Source organism: Homo sapiens, chromosome 14 (genome assembly GCF_000001405.40).
Source record: "Homo sapiens chromosome 14, GRCh38.p14 Primary Assembly".
NCBI lineage: Eukaryota > Metazoa > Chordata > Mammalia > Primates > Hominidae > Homo > Homo sapiens.
This window is the reverse complement of record NC_000014.9, coordinates 70,416,580-70,444,551: the sequence shown is the minus strand read 5'-3', so window position 1 is coordinate 70,444,551 and position 27,972 is coordinate 70,416,580. Positions and strand designations below refer to the sequence as shown.

The 27,972-nt window shown below is 42.3% G+C and overlaps 2 protein-coding genes and 1 long non-coding RNA gene across 5 annotated transcripts in view, besides 5 other annotated features; 2 read left to right on the top strand and 1 right to left on the bottom strand.

The window, feature by feature from the left end:
* Positions 1-70: 70 nt before the first annotated feature.
* Positions 71-27,467, bottom strand: LOC124903339 (uncharacterized). Its single transcript, XR_007064237.1, has 2 exons — positions 27,364-27,467; positions 71-719 (listed from the first exon to the last, which is right to left on the bottom strand). It is a non-coding gene; the product is annotated as an uncharacterized LOC124903339 (long non-coding RNA).
* Positions 18,893-19,093: a silencer, noted in NCBI's record as "peak2189 fragment used in MPRA reporter construct". NCBI's record gives its function as "represses an SCP1 promoter by STARR-seq MPRAs in K562 erythroleukemia cells {active_cell/tissue: K562}" and the evidence as "EXISTENCE:reporter gene assay evidence [ECO:0000049][PMID:32103011]".
* Positions 26,476-27,675: an enhancer, noted in NCBI's record as "BRD4-independent group 4 enhancer chr14:70883594-70884793 (GRCh37/hg19 assembly coordinates)". NCBI's record gives its function as "activates an origin of replication core promoter dependent on BRD2, P300/CBP, MED14 and CDK7 cofactors, and independent of BRD4, by STARR-seq in HCT116 cells {active_cell/tissue: HCT116}" and the evidence as "EXISTENCE:reporter gene assay evidence [ECO:0000049][PMID:35650434]".
* Positions 26,476-27,686: a biological region, named in NCBI's record as "BRD4-independent group 4 enhancer GRCh37_chr14:70883594-70884793".
* Positions 27,387-27,496: an enhancer, noted in NCBI's record as "active region_8654". NCBI's record gives its function as "activates an Ori minimal core promoter by ATAC-STARR-seq in GM12878 lymphoblastoid cells {active_cell/tissue: GM12878}" and the evidence as "EXISTENCE:reporter gene assay evidence [ECO:0000049][PMID:35858748]".
* SYNJ2BP-COX16 (SYNJ2BP-COX16 readthrough) overlaps positions 27,462-27,972 on the top strand; it is a 92,010-nt gene continuing 91,499 nt past the window's right edge. For all 3 annotated transcript variants that reach the window (NM_001202549.2, NM_001202548.2, NM_001202547.2), the window contains exon 1: positions 27,462-27,652. In NM_001202549.2, coding sequence (NP_001189478.1) covers positions 27,589-27,652 — 64 coding nt within the window. In that variant the 5' untranslated portion in view covers positions 27,462-27,588. The remainder of the gene's footprint in view (positions 27,653-27,972) is intronic.
* Positions 27,462-27,972, top strand: part of SYNJ2BP (synaptojanin 2 binding protein) — a 50,592-nt gene continuing 50,081 nt past the window's right edge. The window contains exon 1 of the mRNA NM_018373.3: positions 27,462-27,652. Within this exon, the coding sequence (NP_060843.2) occupies positions 27,589-27,652 (64 nt within the window). The 5' untranslated portion in view covers positions 27,462-27,588. The remainder of the gene's footprint in view (positions 27,653-27,972) is intronic.
* Positions 27,607-27,686: an enhancer, noted in NCBI's record as "active region_8653". NCBI's record gives its function as "activates an Ori minimal core promoter by ATAC-STARR-seq in GM12878 lymphoblastoid cells {active_cell/tissue: GM12878}" and the evidence as "EXISTENCE:reporter gene assay evidence [ECO:0000049][PMID:35858748]".

Below are 27,972 nucleotides of genomic sequence, written 5' to 3'. Positions count from 1 at the left end.
GCTCTAATTAATTGACTTGAAGGATAAGCACTAGGATCAAATATTTTTGAAGAAAAAATAAACACTGTAATGCCTTTTAGTTCATGTGACTTTAATCATCAAGAAATAAAAAAAGACTTATGGATTCTGAACCCCAAAAATTTGAGACAGGTCTCAGTTAATTTAGAAAGTTTATCTTGCCACGGTTGAGGATGTGGCCATGACACAGCCTCAGGAGGTCCTGAAGACATGTGCCCAAGGTGATTGGGGCACAGCTTGGTTTTATACATTTTAGGGACACATGAGACATCAATCAATATATGCAAGAAGTACATCAGTTCCATCCAGAAAGGTGGAGACAATTCAAAGTAAGGCCCCCCCAACTGGGGGCTTCCACGTCACAGGTAGGTGAGAGATAGATGGTTGCATTTTTTTGAGTTTCTGTTAAGTATTTCCAAAGGAAGCAATCAGAATATGCATCTATCTCTGTGAGCAGAAAGATGACTTTGAATAGAATGGGAGGCAGATTTGCCCTGAGTGGTTCCCAGCTTGAGGGGGCCAAGATATTTTCCTTTCACATTTCCCCCCTTTTCTTTTTAAAAATCTTTTGGAGAAAGTATTTTACAAGGAAATGAGTCTCTGGTCTTGTTTCATCTGATCTCTCGTGGCTAGGATGGTTTATTTCTAGATGTGTAGGTTGCAATAGCTCATTTTTAGCAGGTTGTATAAAGTCTCATGTCCTGTGAAGAGAAAATAGTGGTGTGATGGTTAATACTGAGTGTGAACTTGATTGGATTGAAGGATACAAAGAATTGATCCTGGGTGTGTTTGTGAGGTTTTTGCCAAAGGAGATTAACATTTGACTCAGTGAGCTGGGAAAGGCAGATTGGGTGGGCACAATCTAATTAGCTGCCAGCACAGCTAGAATATAAGCAGGCAGAAAAATGTGAAACGAGAGACTGGCCTGGTCTCCATCCTCCCGTGCTGGATGCTTCCTGCCCTTGACTATCAGACTCCAGGTTCTTCAGTTCTACAACTTGGACTGGCTCTCTTTGCCCCTCAGCCTGCTGATGACCTTGTGATCATGTGAGTTAATGAAGCAGAAAATGTAAAAAGAAAAATAAGTAAAGGGAAAAACAAGTTTTCCTGTACTTGGCTAACTCACTCCAAGGCCAGCAATAGGCAGAGCCCTAGTGGGGCCTTGATAATACTATCTGAAAAGCCAGAGCCCAAAGGAATGAGCTCCAGAGATTCTCCCAACACCTTCCCCACCCAGAGCAAGAATAAGAAAAACAAGTTCTTCTTATCAGTTTCCCCCTTTGAAATTCTTTTCCTATACCATTATCCTTTGATCTCTTCTCACAACTACTTTTGTAACTATTTCTGCAAGTTTGCAAGGATTTTGTAAGTTCCTGTTTTCCAGCTGTGCAGTATGGCAATGGTCACAAGACATGCCTGAGTTGTAAAACCTGTCACTGTTCGATAAACTGCCTTTGTTCTGCTTCTGTAAGCTTGCTTACCCACCTTACAGGTTTTGCACCCTTTTCAGATGTATATATAAAAGTCAAGCCCTGTCTTTGTTTGGTGCTCAGCCTTTGGATATGAATCCGCTGAGTTGGTGGCCACCTAATAAAATCCTCCTGTTCCAACCATTGGTCTCTCTCATCTCCTGATTCCTGCAACATTTTGGTGAGCCAGGCAGGGGTGGAGACAACAGGTTTGCTGTCTCCTTTGCCTGTGGGTCTAGGCCCCTGGGCTGGGGGAGAACCGTGACCTCACGTGCCACTGGGGGAACTCAAACCCAGAGAAGGAAGCAGCTCTCCCATGACTTGGTGCCCCTCCCTGACATGGTGTTAATCCTTACCATCCCGCAGGCTGAGGAATGGAGACTATACACAAAAAAGACACAGGCACCAGACCTGCCTCATATGCTGGGGATAGAGGAATTGTTTGGGTTACTTACTAAAATTCCTGGAGTACGGGCTGAAGATAACCCTCTGGGATGGCTGTAAATTAGGCACTGGTAGTAGTAGAATTAAAACCAGGAGCAACTCCGGTTCGGGTTCACCAGTACCCACTCCCCTGAGAAGCCATTTGGGGCATTTACAACCACTTAAAGTGGCTCTATGATCCTGGAATCTTAGTCCAATACCAGTCACCCTGGAACACTCCACTTACCAGTACAAAAACCAGGGTCTGGTGAATATAGGCTGGCGCAAGATTTACATGCTGTAAACCAGACTACAGTGACCATCCCTCCAGTGGTACCAAACCTGTATACTTTAATGGGACTCATTGCGGCAAGTGCTGCTTGGTTTACTTGCCTAGACTTAAAAGATGGCTTTTTCTGCCTTTGCCTAGCACCAAGTAGTCAGCCCCTCTTTGCATTTCAATGGGATGATTCAGTCACAGGCACAGGGGAGCAACTCACCTGGACTAAGCTCCCACAAGGATTCAAAAACTCTCCCACAATTTTTGAGGAAGCATTGGCCTCAGACCTCAAGGCCTACACCCTGCCAAATAATAACTGTGCCTTGCTCCAATATATAGATGATATCCTTTTAGCAGCCCCAACCCATGAGGACTGTTACCAAGGAACCCAAGACTTCCTCTACCTCCTATGGAAAGCTGGTTATAAAGTATCCAGAAAGAAAGCCCAAATTTGCCAGGAAAGGGTTAAATATTTAGGCTTCCTAGTGAGTCAAGGGGAATGCCAGCTCAGCAATGAACAAAAGCAGCCTGTTTGTGCACTCCCAACTCCAACAACTTGGCACCAAATAAGAGAATTCTTCGGGGCAGCAGGGCTCTGCCGTATCTGGATCCCAAATTTCTCACTAATGGCCAAGCCCTTGTATGAAGCCACAAAGTTGGGGGGAAAGGAACCCCTCCTCTGGGAGGCTGACCAGGAGAAGGCGTTTAAACAAATTAAAAAAGTCTTAACCCAGGTCCCAGCCTTAGGACTGCCAGATATAACTAAGACTTTCTTTCTATATGTCCATGAATGAAAGGGAATAGCTATAGGGGTCCTGACTCAAGTCATGGGATCATGGCATCGCCTGGTGGCACACTTATCCAAACAATTGGACTCTGTGGTGCTAGAATGGCCTCCTTGCCTCAGGGCACTAGCTGCCACTGCCCTATTGGCACAAGAAGCTGACAAAATGACTCTAGGGCAGCAACTAACCATCCAGGTACCACACTTGGTTATAACGTTAATGGATCAGAGACGGCACCATTGGTTATCGAATCCGAGGATGACTCAGTACCAGGGGCTCCTACGTGAAAATCCCCACATAACTTTGGAAACAGTAAACATCCTTAACCTGGCTACCCTGCTCCCAATCGAATGGGGATCCCCCTCCATGACTGTGTGGAAACAGTAGACGAGGTGTTCTCAAGCCAGGGAGACCTTACAGACCAACCCCTCAGGGACCCAGATGTTGAATACTTTACAGATGGAAGCACTTTTATGCTGGAGGGGGTCCGCCAAGCTGGGTATGCAGTAGTAACACTGGACTCAGTGACAGAGGCTCAACCTTTGCCTACAGAAACTTCCACTCAGAAGGCAGAGCTAATAGACCTGACAAGAGCTCTTTTGCTGGCAAAAGACAAAAAAGTCAATGTTTATACAGATTCCAAGTATGCCTTTGCCACATTGCGTGTTCATGGAGCTATATATAAGGAGAGAGGACTAATAACTGCTGGGGAAAAATAAATAAAGTACAAAGAGGAAGTTTTACAGCTCTTAGATGCTGTATGGGCCCCAAAGAAGTAGCTGTTATGCACTGTATGGGGGCACCAGAGGTCCAGGACACTAGAGGCCAAAGGAAACAGAAAGGCAGACAGGGAAGCAAAACAGGCTGCAGTGACAACTTTGCATCCTGGAGAGGAAGCCCTGGCTATGCCTCCTCTCCCAGAACCTCCCCTCCTGGAGGTCTCAAGTTACTCTCCAAATGAGAAGGCCTGGTTTGCCCAAGAATCCGGAAAATATATTGAGGTAGGATGGTGGAAATTCTCTGATGGGAGACTAGCCATTCCTGAAATGGTGGCTTCCAAATTTGTAAGACAATTCCATCAAGGAACTCACATGGAGAAAACAGCACTAGAAATGTTACTGGGACACCATTTCTATGTGCTGCGGCTCACTGCCATCACCCAAGCTGTTTGTGAACAATGTCTAACTTGTGCCCAGAACAACCCATGACAGGGGCCCACTCGGCCCCCAGGGATTCAGGAAATGGGAGCCACACTCTGTGAAAACCTGCTTATGGACTTCACTGAGCTGCCCCGAGCAGGGGACTATCGGTACATGTTAGTACTCATCTGCACCTTTTCAGGATGGATTGAGGCTTTCCCCACCAGAATAGAGAAAACATGAGAAGTGACTAAAGTACTGTTAAGAGACATTATCCCAGGTTTGGACTGCCCCTAACTCTAGGGTCAGACAATGGACCGGCATTTTTAGCCACAATAGTTCAAAAACTAACACAGCTGTTAAAAGTAAGATAGAAATTACACACAGCCTACCAGCCACAGAGCTCAGGCAAAGTGGAGCACATGAACCAGACACTCAAACAGCCACTGAAGAAATATTGCCAAGAGACCCATCTAAGGTGGGATCAGGTCCTACCCATGGTCCTCCTCCGAGTCAGGTGCACCCTTACCAAACAACTGGGTATTCACCCTATGAAATCTTGTTCAGCCAGCCACCCCCAATCATAGGTCAAATTAAGGGTGATCTCCGGGAGCTAAGGGACTTAACCTTAAGAAAGCAAATGCAGGGCTTAGGGATAGCCATGCAAGATGTCTATGGCTGGGTACGGGAAAGAATGCCCATAAGCCTGGCAGACCCAGCACACCCCTTTAAACCCGGGGACTCTGTTTGGGTCAAGAAATTGAATCCAACCACTTTGGGACCCCTATGGGATGGGCCCCATACTGTAATCTTGTCCACTCCCACTGCTGTTAGAGTTGCAGGAATTGTGCCTTGGATCCACCCCAGTTGGCAGAAACCAGCAGTCCAAGACAAGTGGACCAGCCAACAGGACCCAGACCATCCAACCCGGCTAATCCTATGATGGGACTGAGTTGCCATTAAGGATGGTGACAGCCCTGCTCTGGTCACTCCAGAAGCTGACCAGTCTACACATGGCTGAAGCTTGAGGAGACAACAGCCATGCTCTAGTTACCCTGGAAGCTTACTAGTCTATGCACGGCTGAAGCTTAAGTTGTCATCAGGGAAGTAATGTGGCTAGAGATCTTAAGCCTAGTAATTTTCCTTATAATATTAATTGTTATACTGTTGTTCTGTTGCTTTGCTCAACCTCCTCCACTGGGTAAAAACCTCTTTTGTCCTTGCTGGGTATAAAGATGCTGCTCTTTTCTTTGTTCCTACTCCTCCCCATCAGGGCACTCCCTTTACCTGTGCCAGGGGATGGGCCCATAGAAGGGTGCCCCCACTGTACTCACACCACACGGTCGGGGAGCACAGTAACTAGAACGCTGTTACATCACACTTACTGTAAATGTACAGGGACTCGCCGAGGAACTTGTATTCACAATCAGACGACCTACTTAGTCTGTGACCTGGGAAATGACCAGCCTTATATATGTTATTATGCTAATTCCTCACCTTATGAGTCCATCCGGTTTGAGGCCTATGTCAGGCAAAAGAAGGGAACCTTCTAACCCTAACCCAAAAGGTCCCTCCCTCCTACAGGGGGCCTATTTCCTTGTATTTTGATGACTGCCAAGCTGCATACATCAGCTACTCTTATCCTGTAGTTTCTTGTGACGGCCTATCATGGGAAAGATACTATAGTAACTGTCACAAGTATATATGCGCACCAAGGAGAGGAAGCTTTCAGGAGAAGACCCCTCTTTGCTCCCTGAGGTCTCTGGAAGCAGACTGTCAGGCCAGCACGATGTGGTCCATTGACCCTGTAGAAAGTCAGGGACGACCACAGGAGACCGTCAGGCTTACCAAAATGCCAGCAAAACCATATTGTAAGACAAGAACCTGCAATCCTTTAAATTTTACCATCTTGGAGCCAAATCTGCCCATATGGACTACAGGTTACCCCATGACATTATGGATCAGTGGTCAGGGAACTGACCCAGGAGTCTATTTATATATTATAAAGAAAACTCAGACCCATTCAACCCAATAATTCTGAGTTTTTGAGTCATTCTGTGAGCACATCCACCAGGAGTTGCCTGAACCTTCTACCTTGGCCAGACACCTCTTTCCCCAACTAGCTGAAAATATAGCTAGCAGCTTGCACGACTCCTCATGTTACATCTGTGGGGGAACCAACATGAGAGATCAATGGCCATAGGAAGCAAGGGAGCTAATGCCCCAAGATAACTTTACTCTGAATGTCCCCTCCCCCAAACCAACGCTCACAAGCCCGAGCGTCTGGCTCTTAAAAACTTCTATTGTTGGGAGACTCTGCATTGCTCACTGGGGAAAAGCCTTTACAGACCCGGTAGGAGAATTAACTTGCCTGGGACAACAATATTCCAATGAAACAGTAGGGAAAACTTTATGGTGGGACGGGAAATATAATTCTGCATTGCCCCACCCAAGCCCATCCAGTTTCCCTTCCTTAAACAACTCTTGGTACCAACTTAATGTTCCAAATATCTGGCAGGCACCCTCTAGCCTCTATTGGATCTGTGGACTGCAGGCATATCGGCAGCTGCCAGCTAAATGGACAGGAGCTTGTGTACTAGGAACAATTAGAACGTCCTTCTTCCTAATCCCTCTAAAGCAGGGAGAAGCCTCAGGTACCCTGTTTATGATGAAACTAAAAGGAGAAATAAAAGGGGCATAGCCATAGGGAATTGGAAGGATAATGAATGGCCCCCTGAGAGAATAATCCAACATTATGGCCCGGCCACCTGGGCAGAAGATGGAATGTATGGATACCACACCCCTTTTACATGCCCAACCACATCATAAGGTTGCAGGCAGTGCTTGAAATCATTACTAATGACACTGCAAGAGCCTTAAATCTGCTGGCCAAGCAAGCCACAAAAATGAGACACGCTATTTATCAAAATAGATTGGCCTTAGACCACCTCCTAGCCCAGGAGGGAGGGGTATGTGGAAAGTTCAATCTAATTGTTGCCTAGAAATTGATGACAATGGAAAAGTCATTGAAGATATAACTGTAAAAATCCAAAAATTAGCCCATGTTTCAGTCCAGATGTGGAGGGGATGGTCTCCAGACTCCCTCTTCGGGGGCTGGTTTTCATCCCTCGGAGGATTCAGGACCTTAGTAGGAATAGTTCTGGCCATATTAGGAGGTTGCTTAATACTCCCTTGTCTCTTACCCCTCCTTGTCAAAAACATCCAATCAGCAATAGAGGCTCTTCTAACAAGCCAAACTACTCAGCTAATGGCTCTAACCAAATAGCAGCCCTTGCCAAGTAAGAACTAACTCCCCATGAAGAATTAAAATTTGATGATGATGCTTTCTATTAAACTTCATTTATAGGAAGCACCAAAGCGGGGAATGAAGCAGAAAACGTAAAAAGAAAATTAAGTAAAAGGAAAAACAACTTTTCCTGTACTTGGCTGACTACCTCCAAGGCCAGCAATAGGCAGAGCCCTAGCAGGGCCTTGATAAAACTATCTGAAAAGCCAGAGCCCAAAGGAACGTGCTCCAGAGACTCTCCCAACACCCCCCCAACCCCGAGCAAGGATAAGAAAAACAAATGCTTTTTATCAGTTCCCCCTTTGAAATTCTTTCCCTATACAATTATCCTTTGATCTGCTCTTACAACTACTTTTGTAACTATTTCTGCAAGTCTGCAAGGATTTTGTAAGCTCCTGTTTTCCAGCTGTGCAGTATGGCAATGGTCACAAGACATGCCTGAGTTGTAAAACCTGTCACTGTTTGATAAACTGCCTTTGTTCTCCTTCTGTAAGCTTGCTTACCCACCTTACAGGTTTTGTGCCCTTTTCAGATGTATGTATAAAAGTCAAGCCCGGTCTTTGTTTGGTGTTTAGCCTTTGGATATGAATCTGTTGAATTGGTGGCCGCCTAAAAAAATCCTCCTCTTCCACACATTGGTCTCTCTGGTTTCCTGATTCCCACAACATTAATACTTAATAAACTCCTATCTATCTATCTATCTATCTGTATGTATGTATGTATTCCATTAGTTCTGTCCCCCTGACTAATACAGATTTTGGTACCAGGAGTGATTCTAGAGGAACAGAATATTAAGGATGGAGTTCTTTTGTTGGTTTTGGGGTTTCTGTGGTTGGTTGCTTAATATGATTAGACCCAAAAATGCTAAGGACTCTACTTCTGATAGTATGGAGAACACTGATAGTACTTGGCATGAACTGTTTAGAGAGTTAGGCAAAATAAGTGCATTTGACACCCTGATTCATTGCTCGTGAGAGGCAAGGAGTTTAGTGACTCAATACATAATACCTTTGACCATATGTGGAGAACAAGGGAACATAATGAAACTGGTTGGTTGCTCCTAAGTCTAGCAGACAAAGTGATGAAAGAAAATGATGAACTCAGGGATTTTATCTCCTGGCCTCAGAGGCAGATGCTGAGCCTCAAATCTGCTAAGATTGCCCTGAGTGACAGTTTTATCTCCTGTAGAGAAAGAGCTGAAATTATGGAAAAACAGAGACAAGCTCTTATCATGTGAGTGGCTGACCTGGAACAAAAGTTGCATACCCAGCCTTGTCAGGTGTCTATTGTTAAAGTGAGGACATTGATTGAAAAAGAATGAGACCCTGCATCTTGGAATGGGGATGTGAAGGAGGACCCTGATGAAGCTGGGGACACTGAGTTTGTAAACTCTGATGAGACTTTCTTTTTTTGCCAGAAGAAACAGCTACCCTATCCCCAGTAGCAGCAGCATCGCCTCCCTGACCCATGCTGCAATCAGCATTTCCACCTTTGTCTGAGGAGATAAACCCTGTGCTGCCTGAGGCAATAGTGATGGCCTCCCCTGAGGCAATCACCAGGCAAGATAATGTTTATTCTCCTCAAGAGCCACTCCCAATGCCCCTGTTTGCTTCTAGACCTATAAGTAGACTAAACTGGCAGGTACCTAGAGGTGAGACTGAGAGTGTGACCCATGAGGAAGTGTGTGACACTTGAAAAGAACTGCTTGAGTTTTCTAATTTACATAAACAGAAATCTAAATAACAGGCATGGGAATGGATATTAATGGTGTGGGATAATGGTGGAAGGAATATAGTGTTGAATCAGGCTGTATTTATTGATCTGGGCCCTCTAACTAGTACTCTGCATTTAATGTTGCAGCTTGGGGAGTTAAAAAAGGGTATGATCAGTTTTTTTTTTGGTTACCTGAAATATGGATTTAAAGATGGCCCACTATGAGTGAACTGGAAATGCCTGATCTCCCTTGATTTAATGTAGAGGAAAGGATCTGAAGGCTTAGGGATATTGGGATGGTGGACTGGATTAGTCACTTTAGACCTACTCATCCCAGCTGGGAGGATCCAGAAGATATAACCTTGACCAATGTCTTGAGAAATAGATTTGTGAGGGCAGCACCTGCATCTTTGAAGAGCCCTGTAATTGCTCTTCTCTGTATGTCAGATCTAACCATGGGAACTGCAGTCACTCAACTACAAAATTTATATACAATGGGAATAATTGGATCCCAAAGTGGCAGAGGCCAAGTGGCAGCACTCAACCATCAAAGTCAAGATGGGCCTAGCTATTGTAATGGACAGCAGAGGCAAAGCAGCAATCAGAATAGTGTGACTTGTGTAGACCTCTGGCATTGGCTAATTAATCATGGTGTTCCTAGAAGTGAAATTGATAGGAAGCCTACTGCATTTCTACTTAATTTATACAAGCAGAAAACTTCTAGGTCAAATGGACAAAAGACTAATTCGAATGATAAAAACAGAGAATCACAGCCCCTCAATCAATTTCCAGACTTGAGCCAGTTTACAGACCCAGAACCCCTTGAATGAAGGGGAGGCTGAGTCCCCTTGAGGAAGGACCCCACTACATCACCAACAATTTATGCAGTTAATCTTTCTCCCATCCTTCCCCAAGGAGATCTCCAAATCCAGCCTTTTACCAGGGTAACTGTGCACTGGGGAAAGGGAAAATGATCAGACATTTCGGGGACTACTGGACACTGGCTCGAGCAGGTCCTGAAGGCACAAGTAAGTTACATGAGGAAGTGGCTCAAATGCCCATGGTCTCCACTCCTGCCACCCTGCCTCCTCTCCCGCAGCCTGCACCGACGGCCTCATGGGAAATTCCCTATGATCAGTTGACAGAGGAAGAGGAGACTACGTAGGGCCTGTTGACAGATGGTTCTGCACGATATCCAGGTACCACCCAAAAATGGACAGCTGTAGCACTGCAGTCCCTTTCTAGGACTTCCCTGGAGGACAGCAGTGAAAAGGAGTCTTCCCAGTGGGCAGAACTTTGAGCAGTGCACCTGGTTGTGCACTTTACATGGAAGGAGAAATGGCCAGATGTGCAATTATATACTGATTCATGGGCTGTAGCAATGGTTTCTCTGGATGGTCAGGGACTTCGAAGAAGCATGGCAGAAAAATTGGTGACAAAGAAATTTGGGAAAGAGGTACGTGGACAGACCTCTCTGAGTGGTCAAAACTGTGAGGACATTTGTATCCCATGTGAGTGCTCACCAACGAGTGACCTCGGCAGAGGAGGAAGAGGAGGATTTTAATAATCAAGTGGATAGGATAACCCATTCTGTGGACACCACTTGGCCTCTTTCCCCAGCCACTCCTGTCATTGCCCAATAAGCCCATGAACAAAGTGGCCATGGTGGCAGGGAAGGAGGTTATGTATGGGCTCAGCAACATGGACTTCCACTTACCAAGGCTGCTCTGGCTATGGCCACTGCTGAGTGCCCAATTTGCCACCAGCAGAGACCAACACTGAGCCCTCAATATGGCACCATTCCTCGGGGTGATCAGCCAGCTACCTGGTGGCAGGTTAATTATATTGGACCTCTTTCATCATGGAAAGAGCAGAGGTTTGTCCTCACTAGAATAGACACTTTCTCCAGATATGGGTTTGCCTATCCTGCATGCAATGCTTCTGCCAAGACTACCATCAGTGGATTCATGGAATGCCTTATCCACCATCATGGTATTCCATACAGCATTGCCTCTGACCAAGGCACTCACTTTATGGCTAAAGAAGTGGTGGCGTAGTTTCATGCTCATGGAATTCACTGGTCTTACCATGTTCTCCATCATCCTGAAGCAGCTGGATTGATAGTAAAATGGTCTTTTGAAGTCACAATTACAACACCTACTAGGTGACAGGACTTTGCAAGCTTTGGGCAAAGTTCTCCAGAAGGCCGTGTATGCTCTGAGTCAGCATCCAATATATGGTACTGTTTCTCCTATAGCCAGGATTCACTGGTCCAGGAATCAAGGGGTGGAAGTGGAAGTGGCACCACTCACCATCCATCACCCCAGTGATCCACTAGCAAAATTTTTGCTTCCTGTTCCTACGACATTACATTCTGCTGGCCTAGAGGTCTTAGTTCAAGAGGGAGGAATGCTGCCACCAGGAGACACAACAATTCCATTAAACTGGAAGTTAAGATTGCCACCTGGACACTTTGGACTCCTCCTACCTTTAAGTCAACAGGCTAAGAAGAAAATTACTGTGTTAGCTGGCATGATTGACCTGGACTATCAAGATGAAATCAGTCTACTAACACACAATGAAGGGAAGGAAGAGTATGCATAGAATACAGGAGATCCATTAGGGCATCTCTTAGTATTACCATGCCCTGTGATTCAGGTCAATGGGAAACTACAACAGCCCAATCCAGGCAGGACCACAGATAGCCCAGACTCTTCAGGAATGAAGGCTTGGGTCATTCCACTAGGAAAAAAAACGCGACCTGCTGAGGTGCTTGCTGAAGGCAAAAGGAATACTGAATGGGTAGTGGTAGAAGGAAGTCATCAGTACCAGTTACGATCATGTGATCAGCTATAGAAATGAGGACTGTAATCGTCATGAGTATTTCCTCCTTCTTTGTTAAAAACATGTTTGTGCATGTATACACTTGTACTAAGAAAACATCTTCAGTTTATTTCCTTTCTCCTTTATCTTGTGACATAAGATTTATTGACTTCATATCAGCATTTAAGTATTGTTAACATTATATAATAGTATTTGGGTATGGGATTGGTGCGTTTCCGGTTGTACGAAGAATAGTTGTGTTATGTTAGGGGTAACTATGACCTTACTATTGTCTTTATTTGAAGATTATGTATGATCTCAGGAGTTGTATATGGGTTCAAGTTGACAAGGGGTGGTCTTCTTATCGTTAATACCGAGTGTCAACTTGATTGGATTGAAGGATGCAAAGTATTAATCCTGGGTGTGTCTGTGAGGGTGTTACCAAATAAGATTAACATATGACTCAGTGGGTTGGGAAAGGCACACCCATCCTTAATCTGGGTGGGCACAATCTGATCAGTTGCCAGCATTGATAGAATATAAACAGGCAGGAAAATGTGAAAAGAGAGACTGGCCTAGCCTCCCAGGCCACACCTTTCTCCACTGCTGGATGCTTCCTGCCCTTGAACACTAGCCAGACTAATAAACAAGAAAAGAGAAAAGAATCAATAAATAAACTAGAAAATCTAGATGAAATGGATAAATTCCTGGAATTTATCCCCTCCCAAGACTAAACCAGGAAGAAGTAGAATTCCTGAATAGATCAATAAAAAGTTCTGTAATTGAGGCAGTATTTAACAGCCTATCAAGCAAGAAAAGCCCAGGGCCAGACGGATTCACAGCTGAATTTTACCAGAGGTACAAAGAGGAGCTGGTACCATTCCTTCTGAAACCATTCCAAACAATAGAAAAAGAGGAACTCCTCCCTAACTCATTTTATGAGGCCAGCATCAACCTGATACCAAAACGTGGCATAGATGCAACAAAAAGAAAATTTCAGTCCTGATGAACATCGATGCAAAAATCCTCAATAAAATACTGGCAAACAGAATCCAGAAGCACATCAAAAAGCTTATCCACCATGATCAAGTCAGCTTCATCCCTGGAATGCAAGGCTGGTTCAACATACACAAATCAATAAACGTAAATCCATCATATAAACAGAACCAGTGACGAAAACCACATGATTATCTCAATAAATGCAGAAAAGGCCTTCGATAACATTCAACACACCTTCAAAAACACTCAGTAAACTAGGCATTGATGGAACATATCTCAAAATAATAAGAGCTATTTATGACAAATCCATAGCCAATATCATACTGAAAGGGCAAAAGCTGGAAGCATTCCCTTTGAAAACTGGCACAAGACAAGGATGCCCTCATCACAACTCCTATTCAAGATATTATTGTAAGTTCTGGCCAGGGCAATTAGGCAAAAGAAAGAAATAAAGGGTATTCAATAGGAAGAGAGGAAATCAAATTGTCTCTGTTTGCAGATGACATGATTGTATACTTAGAAAACCCCATAGTCTTAGCCCAAAAACTCCTAAGCTGATAAGCAACTTCAGCAAAGTCTCAGGATACAAAATCTGTGTGCAAAAATCACAAGCATTCCTATATACCAATAATAGACAAACAGAGAGAGCCAAATCATGAGTGAACTCCCATTCACAATTGCTACAAAGAAAATAAAATACCTGGGAATACAACTTACAAGGGACATGAAGGACCTCTTCAAGGAGAACTACAAACCACTGCTCAAGTAAATAAGAGAAGACACAAACAAATGGAAAAAAATTCCATGCTCATGGATACGAAGAATCAATATCACAAAAATGGCCATGCTGCCAAAGTAATTTATAGATTCAATCTATTCCCATCAAGCTACCATTGACTTTCTTCACAGAAATAGAAAAAGCTACCTTAAATTTCATATGGAACGAAAAAAGAGCCCATATAGCCAAGAATCCTAAGCAAAAAAAAAAAAAAAAAAAGCTGGAGGCATCATGCTACCCAAGTTCAAACTATTCTACAAGGCTACAATAACCAAAACAGCATGGTACTGGTACAAAAACAGATATATAGACCAATGGAATAGAACAGAGGCTTCAGAAATAATATCACACATCTACAACCATCTGATCTTAGACAAACCTGCCAGAAACAAGCAATGGGGAAGGATTCCCAATTTAATAAATGGTGCTGGGAAAACTGGCTAGCCATATGCAGAAAACGGAAACTGGACCCCTTCCTTACACTGTATACAAAAATTAACTCAAGATGGATTAAAGACTTAAATGTAAAACCTAAAACCAGAAAAACCCTAGAAGAAAACCTAGGCAGTACCATTCAGGACATAGACATGGCAAAGACTTCATGATTAAAACACCAAAGAAATTGCAACAAAAGGCAAAATTGAAAAATGGGATCTAATCAAACTAAAGAGCTTCTGCTCAGCGAAAGAAAATATCATCAGAGTGAACAAGCAACCTGAAGAATGGGAGAAAATTTCTGCAATCTATCCATCTGAAAAAGGCCTCATATCCAGAATCTACAAGGAACTAAAGACATTTCTAAGAAAAAAATAACCCCATCAAAATGTGGGTGAAGGATATAAACAGACACATCTCAAAAGAAGACATTTATGAGGCTAACAAACATGAAAAAAAGCTCATCATCACTGGTCATTAGAGAAATGAAAATCAAAACCACAAAAAAATCAATACCACCTCACACCAGTTAGAATGGTGATCATTAAAAAGTCTGGAAACAATAGATGCTGGAGAGGATGTAGAGAAATGTGATTGCTTTTACACTGTTGGTAGGAGTATAAATTAGTTCAACCATTGTGGAAAACAGTGTGGCAATTCCTCAAGGATCTAGAAGCAGAAATACCATTTGACACAGCAATCCCATTACTGGGTATATATCCAAAGGATTATAAATCATTCTACTATAAAGACACATGCACACATATGTTTACTGCAGCACTATTCACAATAGCAAAGACTTGAAATCAACCCAAATGCCCATCAATGATAGACTGGAAACAGAAAATGTGGCACATATACACCATGGAATACTATGCAGCCATAAGAAAGAATGAGTTCATATTCTTTGCAGGAACATGGATGAAGCTGGAAACCATCATCCTCAGCAAACTAGCACAAGAACAGAAAACCAAACACTGCATGTTCTCAATCATAAGTGGAAGTTGAACAATGAGAACACAGGGAGGGGAACATCACACACTGGGGCCTGTTGGGTGGTTGCGGGTAAGGGGAGGGAGGGCATTAGGACAAATACCTAATGCATGCTGGGCTTAAAATCTAGATGATCGGTTAATAGGAGCAGCAAACCACCATGGCACATGTATACCTATGTAAAAAACCTGCACATTCTGCACATATATCCCAGAACTGAAAGTAAAATAAAAATTAGAAAAATTAAAACTTTCAGGAAAAAAAATCAAAAAGTAACAGATGCTGGTGAGGTTGTGGAGAAAAGGTAACCCTTATACACTGTTGGTGGGAGTGTGAATTAGTTCAACTATTGTGGTAAACAGTATGGCGGTTCCTCACAGAGCTAAAAGCAGAACCACCATTCAACTCAGCAGTCCCATTACTGAGTATATATCCAGAGGAATGTAAAGCATTCTACCATAAAGACACATGCACGTGAATGTTCATTGCAGCACTGTTCACAATAGCAAAGACATAGAATCAAGCTAAATGCCCATTAGTGACAGACTGGATAAATAAAATGTGGCACATATACCCCATGGAATATTTTGCGCCAGAAAAAAAGAATGAGATCGTGTCTTTTGTGGGAACATAGATGGAGCTGGAGGCTATCATCCTTTGCAAACCAACGCAGGAACGGAAAACCAAATACCATGTGTTTTCACTTATAAGTGGAAGCTAAATGATAAGAACTTATGAACACAAAGAAGGAAACAACAGACACTGGGGAATACTTGACGGGGGAGGCTGGGAGAGAGAGGAGCAGAAAAGATAACTATTGGGTCCTGGGCTTAATACCTGAGTGATGTAATAATATGTACAACAAACCCCCGTGACACGTGTATCGGTGTAACAAACGTACACATGTACCCCCAAACCTAAAATTAAAACTAAAAAAAAAAAAAAAAGAAACAAGATTCCAAATTCATATTCTGAGGCTAGCCTAATCCTGATAATACAACTTCATAGTAAAGCATATGTTATGTGCTCTCATTTTAGCCTCTCCACCAGAGAAGTTAACATGCTGGATCAGATTAATACGGTCTTGGGTGCATAGGATGCAACCAATGAACTGAAAATGTGTTATTTTCTATTCTGATAATAAAAGAGCCATCAGAAAAAAATCTGCACTCATATAGCGTGGACACAAATATTTATTTATAGGCTTGCCTCCAGGGCTATGTTATTTCACCTGCCTCTGGCATAATATAATCTGAGGAAATCTAGACTGTTTGAACATACAGAAAACCTTATACGGATTCACTTCATTGAGTATCATGCTGATGGGGCTGCATTGTTGGTTCACTGGAGGTCTTATTAAGAGATATGCATTCCAGGGGTAGGAAAGATTTGGGGACATGATACTTTATTAGAGTATTTAAGGGTACAGTGGTTAAAACCATGGTGGGATATACCCTTGAAGTAAAGGCAAATTGCCGCATTTTGCATTCCCTAGCACAAAGAAAAAGGTGGTGCCTGCTATATGCCTCCATGGGTTGTTGAAGCAAACATTTCACACCTATGAATACTACTCTGGCCCATACACTAGACAATAATGAAGTGATCATCTTTGAGTAGGGCCCAAAACAAGAAATGACCTTGCTGTGGGTCCAGGTTGTTATGTGAAGGAGTTAAGGATATGCCACCCCAAAATATGCCAAATTGGCATATTGATTATTTCAAGCTGAAAGCACTTCAAAAACTGCATTTGCAGTAACAGCCATTTGACCTGCTGTTTTCCACATGTAGCAAACCATAAAATTTCCATATAGACCAGGAGGTCAAGACCAGCCTGGCCAACATGGCAAAACCCCATCTCTACTAAAAATATAAGAATTCCTTTGGGAGGCCGAGGTGGGTGGATCACTTGAGGTCTGGAGTTCAAGACCAGCATGGCCAACATGGTGAAACCCCATCTCTACTAAAAATATAAAAATTATTTTTTATATTTTTATATATAAAACATACAATATAATATTTTATTTAAAACATACATATAAATGTATATAAAAATACAATTAATATTTTATAAAAAATATACAGGCATGGTGGTGCATGTCTGTAATCCCAGCTACTCGGGAGGCTGAGGCAGGAGAATTGGAGAACTGCTTGAGCCTGGAAGGTAGAGGTTGCAGTAAGCCAGGATTGCACCACTGCACTCCAGCCTGGGTGACAGAGTAAGACTCTGTCTCAAAAAAAAAAAAAAAAAAAATTTAGCCAGGTGTGGCAGCACATGCCTATCATCTCAGCTACTCAGGAGGCAGAGGCATGAGAATTGCTTGAGCCTGGGAGGTGGAGGTTGCAGTGAGCTGAGATCACACCACTGTACACCAGCCTGAGTAACAGAGTGAGACTCTGTTGAAAAGAGAAAAAAAAAAGTTCCATAGATGTTGGGAACAGGCCCCCAAATCTGGCCATAAACTGGCCCCAAAACTGGCCATAAGTAAAATCTCTGCAGCACTGTGACATGTTCTTGATGGCCATGACACCCACACTGAAGGTCGTGGATTTACTGGAATGAGGGCAAGGAACACCTGGCCCACCCAGGGTGGAAAACTGCTTAAAGGCGTTCCTAAACCACAAACAATGGCATGAGCAATCTGTGCCTTAAGGACATGTTCCTGCTGCAGATAACTAGCCAGAGCCCATCCCTTTGTTTCGGCCCATCCCTTTGTTTCCCGTAAGGAATACTTTTAGTTAATCTATAATATATAGAAATAATGCTTATCACTGGCTTGCTGTCAATAAATATGTGGGTCAAACTCTGCTTGGGGCTCTCAGCTCTGAAGGCTGTGAATCCCCTGATTTCCCACTCCACATGCTGTATTTGTGTGTGTGTCTTTAATTCCTCCAGCACCACTGGGTTAGGGTCTCCACGACTGAGCTGGTCTCAGCACATAGAGGAAGATGGTTTTCCTGTACTAGGACAAGACAGTAACCCTATTACCAGAGACTGGAAATGGTGCTGCAATGGACCTGTACAAATAAACTTAATAACCCTTACCTTCTACTAGGTTTACCCCTCCCCAGTATATCTCCTAGTGACCTTCCTGGAATTACTGCCCTTAGCCTAGATCCTTTTGTCCTGTCATTTCCTCATAGACGTATTGTTCTTCATCTAAAAAAATATAAAAGCTTTCTGTTTTGGCCATTTCTTCAGATCTTCACTCTCTTGTGAGGATCCCCCTGTACATGTAAAAAGTAATAAAACTTGTATCCTTTTCTCCTCTTAATCTATCTTGCATCAATATCATTCCTAGACCCAGTCAGAGATGGGTGGAGGTGATCCGTACATTCCCTACAAATTTTGGTGCCCAACGTGGGGCATCCTTCACTGGCTGGAACACTGCTTGCTCGAAACTGCTGCACCTGAAATCCTGGCCCTCTGACAAAAGGCCAGCAAAGGTAAGAATTCTTAATACTGTCAGTCTGCTGGATCTCTGCCTGTGGAGAATGGTCAAGGTGAGAGTGGTAAGACTCTTTTCTTCCTCTTTCCCTCTCTAAATTTAGACTGGCAGGAGAAAATATTTATGTGAACTAGTTTTGGGGGCAAAGTGACTTTGGTGTTTGTGAGTAGTCTTGTTTTCTATTTGATCTTTTCCCCCCAGAGTTAATCTTTGCTTTCCTTTTGTCTTTTGGGGTAGTTTGTTATAAGGGGGAAAATCATATGAAGATTCTCATTTCATCTTGTTTTATGTCTTGAGAGCTTGGCTTTGTAACCAAGTGAGAAGTTCTCTCTCTCTGGTCTCTGCCACTTGGGGAACATGATTGTCAAGTCATGTCTGGCAGCCAGCCAAAAGGCTGGGAACTTGAGATGCAAAGTGACAAGCAGGACTCTCCTCGTCTGACTGTGCCAGCTCCCAGGGGTGTTTTCTCTTAAGAAGAAGCTCTAATTTATAAGCAGCTTTTGTAATCTCAACCTTTGTTGCTTAGTGCAACATGGAGGTCACACATAATGACCTCCATTGTATGTCCATATATATGTAATTGTATATGTATTACATATATGTACATTCTATACATACGTGTACATTGTATACATATACATATACATACATGTATACACACATATACAACGTATACATACATGTATACATACACATACAATGTATACATACACGTATACATGCATGTATACATACACATACAATGTATACATACACGTATACGTGTATGTATACATACATATACAATGTATACATACACGTATACGTGTATGTATACATACATATACAATGTATACATGCATGTATACATACATATATACATTGCATACATGCATGTATACATACACATTGCATACATGCATGTATACATACACATTGCATACATGCATGTATACATACACATTGCATACATGCATGTATACATACACATTGCATACATGCATGTATACATACACATTGCATACATGCATGTATACATACACATTGCATACATGCATGTATACATACACATTGCATACATGCATGTATACATACACATTGCATACATGCATGTATACATACACGTATACATACACATTGCATACATGCATGTATACATACACATTGCATACATGCATGTATACATACACATTGCATACATGCATGTATACATACACATTGCATACATGCATGTATACATACACATTGCATACATGCATGTATACATACACATTGCATACATGCATGTATACATACACATTGCATACATGCATGTATACATACACATTGCATACATGCATGTATACATACACATTGCATACATGCATGTATACATACACATTGCATACATGCATGTATACATACACATTGCATACATGCATGTATACATACACATTGCATACATGCATGTATACATACACATTGCATACATGCATGTATACATATACATTGCATACATGCATGTATACATATACATTGCATACATGCATGTATACATATACATTGCATACATGCATGTATACATACAAATACATTGCATACATGCATGTATACATACAAATACATTGCATATGTATTACATATATGTGAACATACAATGTATTACATATGTGGACATATGTATATGTATATGTGGGCATATACTTACATGTGTACACTGTATATGTGTATGTATATGTATATATATACACAAAATTGAGCACTGTAATACATATACACATACATTGTATGGGTGTATGTATACACATACATTGTATGGGTATGCGTATACGCATACATTGTATAGGTTTGCATATACACAATGTAGCACACCATAAAAGTTCCATAGAGATCGGAGTTGTGTAATACATATACACAATGGAGTACTATTTTCCTTATCCATTCATCTGCTGATGGACACTAGGTTGCTTCCAAATCTTGGCTATTATGAATAGTGCTGCAATAAACACAGGATTGCAGACATCTCTGATATACTGATTTAATTTCCTTTGGCTAAACACCTACCAGTGGGATTAGTGGATTTTATGGTAACTGTACCTTCAGTTTGTTGAAGAACCTCCAAATTCTTCTCCATAGTGGTTGTACTAATTTACATTCCCACCAAGTTACAAGTGTTCCCTTTCCTCCACATCCTCGCCAGGATTTGTTACTGCCTGTCTTTCGGATAAAAGCCATTTTAACTGGGGTAAAAAGATATCTTATTATAGTTTCCATTTGCTGATGATCGATGATGTTGAGCATCTTTTCTTTTCTTTTTTTTTTTTTTTTTTTTGAGACGGAGTCTCGCTCTGTCGCCCAGGCTGGAGTGCAGTGGCGCGATCTCGGCTCACTGCAAGCTCCGCCTCCCGGGTTCACGCCATTCTCCTGCCTCAGCCTCCCGAGTAACTGGGACTACAGGCGCCCGCTACCACGCCCGGCTAATTTTTTGTATTTTTAGTAGAGATGGGGTTTCACCGTGTTAGCCGGGATGGTCTCGATCTCCTGACCTCGTGATCCGCCCACCTCGGCCTCCCAAAGTGGAGCATCTTTTCATATACCTGTTTGCCATTAGTATGTCTTCTTTTGAGAAAGGTCTAGTCAGATATTTTGTCCATTTTTTAAATTGAAATATTAGATTTTTTCACTATAAAGTTGTTTGAGCTCCTTACATATTCTGGTTATTAATCCCTTGTCATATGAGTGGCTTGAAAATATTTTCTTCCATTCTGTGGGTTGTCTCTTCATTTTGTTGATAGTTTCCTTTGCTTTGCAGAAGGTTTTTAACTCGACGTGATCCCATTTGTCCATTTTTGCTTTGATTGCCTGTGCTTTTGGGGTATGACTCAAGAAGTTTTTGCCCAGAGCAGTGTCCTGTAGAGTTTCCCCCAATATTTTCTTGTAGTAGTTTCATAGTTTGAGGTCCTAGATATGTCTTTAATCCATTTTTTAAATTTTTATGTATGTTGAGAGACAGGGGGTCTAGTTTCATTCTTCTGCATATGGACGTCCAGTTTTCCTAGCACCATTTATTGATGAGACTGTCTTTTCCCCAATGTATGTTCTTGGCACCTTTGTCAAAAAATTAGTCCATTGTAGATGTATGGGTTTATTTCTGGGCTTTCTCTTCTGTTCCACTGGTGTATGTGACTCATTTTGAGCGCATCAGCAATGTCAGTGAGAACAGCTGAGAGGAATTCAGGCAGTAGAACTAGTACACTATTGACTGCAGCAGGTGATGAGACAGCAAATGACAACTGCAGTGTGATCTTTAGCAAGTGACTGAGTTTAAGTTTCATCATCACTAAAATTCATTCATTCATTGAAAGCCTATTATAAGGCCAGACACGATGGCTTATACCCATAATCCCAATCCTTTGCAGGGGCTGAGGCAGGAGGATTGCCTGAGGCCAGGAGTTTTAGATCAGCCTGGGCAATACAGCAAGACCCTATTGCTACAAAAAATAATTTAAAAAAATAAACAAAAAGAAAGCCAAGTTTGTGTTGGCAACTCTTATAGGTACTGGAGATAAAGCAGTGAACAAGAAGCCGTGGGGCAGATGGCACAGCAAATGCAAAGATCTAAACTAAACCAAATGTATTTGTTTGAGAAACAGAAAAAAGTTCAGTGTAGATGTAATGAATGAGGGAAGGGGGTTGTGGTAGTAGACGAGTTAGAGAGCTTGACAAAAGCCAGATTATCTGGTCTTAGAGGCAATGTTAAGGATATCGATTTTTTTCTACATGAGATGGAAATGACTGAAATATTTAGATTGGGGCATGACATGATCTGATTTACATTTTTGTAAGATTGCTCCAGCTGAGGGAAGAATAGATGGGAGATATCGAGTGAGCAGCAGAAAAAACATTCAGGAAGAACAGTAGAAGTAGAGGCAATACATACTGGTGGTTTGTAATAAGCTGGTAGTATCAGAGATGGTCAGATAGACTGTATTTCATACATAGCAACAGCTATACTTTTGATGGGTTGAATGTAGAATGCAAGGGAAAGAATGGAATCAAAAGCTGTTCTTAAGATATTCATATGAACTGAGTAAACTGAGTTACTCAAGGAAGGGGAACAGCTAAGAGAGGTATCAGTTTAGGGGTATAAGGGTTAGAAATTCTCATTTTATCATAATTTAAGATGCCTGCTAGGCATCTAAATTTTGAGATGTTAGGTAGGCAACTGGGTTACACAAGACTGAAGCTCAGTGAAGAGACATGACAGCTGGCATATTAATGGCATTAGAGCCAGGGGTCTGAATTAGACTTCTTATAAAGATAGCATATATATACAGAAGAATAAAGAGTACCAATCAAAAAGGACAATAGAAGATAAAATAATTGTAAATGCCTTGTGGCTATCTGCTGTCATCAATAGCTGGGGTCAGCAGTGCAACTTGCAGCAAGAACTTGAAAATTAAAGCAATAATACTGCTATCAGGTCTAAACTTTAAAATCAACAAGTAATGGGCCAGAGCAGAGATATGCAATGCCAAAGGCTGTGACTTCACTGTAATCTGTGTTATGGGCTGTGTTGTATGCCTGCAAAATTCATCTGCTGAAGTACCTCAGAATGTAACCATATTTGGAGAAAAGGTCTTTAAAGAGGTAAGTAAGTTAAAATGTGGTCATTACGGTGGGCCCTAATCTAATATGAACGATGTCCTTATAAGAAGAGGAAATTTGGAAACAGACATGTGTGCACACAGAGGAAAGACCATGTGAAGACAGAGGTAGAAGATATGGCCATCTGCAAGCCAAGGAAAGAAGCCTCTGAGGAAACCAACTCTACCTGCACCCTGATCTTGGACTTCCAGACTCCACAGCTGTGAAAAAATACATTTTCATTGTTCAAATTACACAATCTGTAGTATTAGTTACAGTAACATTAACAAACTAATATCGTCTGATTAAATGTAATAATAATACAACAAAGAAAAAAGTGTGTCAATCACAAAAGAGTTTTGTCACCTAAGGAAGCATAGAAAAAATAAAATATGCAGGAATTTGAAACTAAATAGGTAAGGGCAAAAAGTTGGAACAAATGCTATGTCAAAGGAGAGGTGGATAAGTCCCAAATACAAACATATTCATGAGTTGGTCATCAAAGAGGCTGATAGAATAAAATACTGAAGTAGGAGGGGACTGAAGCAGACAAGAGAGATTAAAAAGACAAAGTGAATATATGACAGGAAATGTGCAAAAATAGAGCAAGGTGTGATTAAGGTGAGGCAAGGTTTCCACTAATTTTGTAAATGGTAGATTGAAGTTTCCACTACATTCTACATTTTTTACATAACTCAAGGTCATAAGCAGAAAGGTTAGTTCAGACAGAAAGTGTCACTTCTTGTGTCAGAGACTGCCAGTGGCCTCCCAATATCCATTCTCCCACTTTCAGTTAATAATAATAACCTTGATTTTTATGGTTGGCACATTTCTATCCCTGAGATTACAAGAAGTCTATGACATTTCCAGGAGGTCTTCTTTGCCCTTCCTTCATTACCTTCCTGGAATGTAGATATGATGGTTGAAGTTCCAAAATCCATCTTAAGCATCTTGGACCACGAAGTAAAGTCTACACTCCAGGGGTGAGCCACTGCACCCGGCCTGATTCCATAATTTTTCTCAATTGTTTCCTCTGAGTAGGATCTCATTTTCTCTGTCATTTGCTTTCCTACATATTAAAGCTCCCTCATTTTTTTTTTTAATTTATTTACTTTTATTATTTTTTAGTAGAGATGGGGTCTTGCTCTGTTACCCAGGCTAGAGTGCAGTGCTTCAATCACACCTCACTGCAGCCTCAAACCCCTGAGCTCTAATGATCCTCCCGCCTCAGCCTCTAGAGTAACTGGGACTACAGGCATATCACCACGCCCAGCTAGCTTCCTTGTTCTTCCATTGTTACTGGAAAGGGGTCCTGATCCAGACCCCAACAGAGGGTTCTTCAACCTTGTGCAAGAAAGAATTTGGGGCAAGTCCATAGAGTAAAGTGAAAGCAAGTTTATGAAGAAAGTAAAGGAATAAAGAATGGCTGCTCCATAGGCAGAGCAGCCCCGAGGGCTGCTGGTTGGCTATTTTTATGGTTTTTTCTTGATTATATGCTAAACAAGGGGTGGATTATTCATGAGTTTTAGGGGAAATTGGTGGGCTATTCCTGGAACTGAGGGTTCCTTCCCTTTTCAGACCATATAGGGTAACTTCCTGATGTTGCCATGGCATTTGTAAACTGTCATGGCGCTGGCAGGAGTGTCTTTTAGCATGCTAATGCATTATAATTAGCATATCATGAGCAGTGAGGATGACCAGAGGTCACTTTAATCACCACGTTGATTTTAGTGGGTTTTGGCTGGCTTTTTTACCACATTCTTTTATCAGCAAGGTCTTTGTGACCTGTACCTTGTGCTGACCTATCTCATCCTGTGACTTAGAATGCCTAACTTCCTGGGGATGCAGCCCAGTAGGTCTCAGCCTTATTTTACCCAGCCCCTATTCAAGATGGAGTCGCTCCAGTTCAAAAGCCTCTGACACCATTATTCCTATACTTCTATTAGGGAATAAAGGCAATTTACATATCCCATCTCTCACTCTACTTATTACCAGCATTTCCTCAACTTGTTTAGGATACTTTTTTCTTTCACTGCCCTATGTATTTCTTTTGAAGCTGTGTGTTCAGATGAAAAGGACAATTTTCCCAGGTACTGAGAGGTGATTCCCCCACCACCGTCCCCACAGTGGTCTAAAAGAAACCTTGTGTTTTTTTCCTTACAAATCTCCTCATTGATGATTTCTTGATTTTCCCCCCATTTCTATTTGATCTTTTCTCTCTTGACATTCCAATGTCATTTATTTTATTTTATCTATTTATTTTTTGAGATGGAGTCTTGCTCCGTCACCCAGCGTAGAGTGCAGTGGCACGATCTCCACTCACTGCAACCTCCGCCTCCTGGGTTCAAGTGATTCTCCTGCCTCAGCCTCCCATGTAGCTGGGACTACAGGCCTGCGCCACCACGCCCAGCTAATTTTTTTGTATTTTTAGTAGAGATGGGGTTTCACCATGTTGGCCAGGCTGCTCTGGAACTCCTGACCTCAAGTGATCTGCCCACCTTGGCCTCCCAAAGTGCTGGGATTACAGGTGTGAGCCACCCCGCCCAGCCCCCAATGTCATTTATTTATATTACACATTTTTTTAATTTATCATTCTCTGCCTTTTATAATGATCATTTTATTCACTCATCCAACCAACATATGAAGAGCTACTATCAATCCCATTTTAAGATGGGGAAACAGAGTTCAGAGATGTTGGATTCCTTGCTCAAAGACAGACAAGTTTAAGGGAATGGAATGGAAACTTGAGCCCAAGTTGTAAGTCATAATCTGTGTTATTTCCACTATCCCATCTTTTTTTTTTGAGACAAAGTTTCGCTCTTGTTGCCCAGGCTGGAGTGCAATGGTGCAATCTCGGCTCACTGCAACCTCCGCCTCCCGGGTTCAAGCGATTCTTCTGCCTCAGCCCCCCGAGTAGCTGGGATTATAGGTACCTGCAACCACACCGAGCTAATTTTTTGTATATTTAGTGGAGACAGGGTTTCACCATGTTGACCAGGCTGGTCTTGAACTTCTGACCTCAGGTGATCCACCCGCCTCGGCCTCCCAAAGTGCTGGGATTACAGGCGTGAGCCACTGTGCTCAGCCTCCACTATTCCATCTTAACTTCTCTCAGAGTGAGCAAATAAGAGGTCTTCCTGCCGAATCTGCCCCTATCTCCTTCTGTTTGGTAAACATAGTAGCTGCTGCTTTGGTTTTTTACTCTAAATTTAAATGTCTTTACATTGGCCTTGCACTTTCTAGTCCTCTAAGATCCCCACCAATCCCTGTGGTCTAACTCCAGGTTGCTTCACAAGGTTGTCACCTTCCTGGCTCTTTAGGCTTTTGTGTTTTTGACCCCTGAAGTTTCATTCAAGTTCAGTTTGGAATGTCTCATTCCAAAAGTCAGGAAGACTGGCCTAAAGTTATACCTAAGCCATGCGTTAACCTTATTGTAAGAGTTAAAACATTAAAAAGATTGAATTTTCCCAGTTGCCAAAAGAATGAGACATTCCCCCACCCCCCTTTCTTAAAACATTTTCTTGAGCAAATTGTAATTATAATCCGTGTGTAGTGTGTGTGTGTGTGTGTATCTTTTTAAAAGCTAAATAAGCCTCTTGTCAGATAAAACCCAGGAATTGTTTTCGTCAGGTCCCGGGAGCCAACTCCTTGAAATTTAAGTATCAAGGTAGACAGTGCCCCTATGTTCCAGGCTCGCGGGAGTTACCCGAAGCGCCTTGCTCCAAGCCGTAAGTACCTGTTTGTCACAGAGATAACGTTTTATTTTTCCTTTGGATAAAGGCAATTAACCAACACAGGCGGCCACTCCAACGGTGAACTACCAAAAATTGAATACCAAACCATGTTAACTCGTCTTACATGAGAAGATGCGTGTGCTTTGGCTACATAAAATGTGAGATTTTTGTCTCTCTTTGCAATCTCATTAGTGGATTGCCTGTAACACCCATTCCGGTCTGGTTCGATGCTTACAGAATAATACACCTTTTTTTTCTTTTCTACATTTGTGGAGATTTTCTAGGATGGCAGGAGATTTTTTTAAAATTTTTTTTCTCGACAATATCAATTTATTTAGGTCCCTTACTTTTACTAGCCACCCCCTTCCCACTTGCTTCCAATGGCAAATTAGAATGGTAACTTGCCCCTTGCTCACCTCATGCTTGGCTTTGGGAACCGGTGAGAAACTGCAATCCATTGGCGGTAGGAACCACGATTCCCAGCATTCCCAGTGCTCCGAGTCCTTCGGGCTTCCTTTTCCGGGTCTCGAGGCTGCTGAAACCGAAACCGCTGTGCTGTGGGCGCAGCGCCGAGATTGATTCACCTTCACCTGTGCTGCACTCCAGCTGACCCAAGTAGGAAGCCAGACGAGCTGTAAAACATGAACGGAAGAGTGGATTATTTGGTCACTGAGGAAGAGATCAATCTTACCAGAGGGCCCTCAGGTATGTGCGGAAAGGGTCATATCTGACAGTAGGGGATTAGAGGGTGTAATTGCAGACACCTCTGCTGCTGAGCCGGATTCACCTGGCCTCGGGGCGGGCAGGCCACAACCTAGAGGTTTCGTGCAACGCTTCGGGGTGCTTAGAGAAAATATATTGAAATCCATCATTAGCCAGATACGGGTCTGAGGAATCCACCTCAAAATCCAGTTGGATGAACACAAATATATATAGTCAAGAAGGGGTTCTTTGTGCAAATCGTGCTAGAAAAGCCTTTTTAAAAGCCTGCTTTTTTAGCCTGCTTATCGTGGATACCACATCCT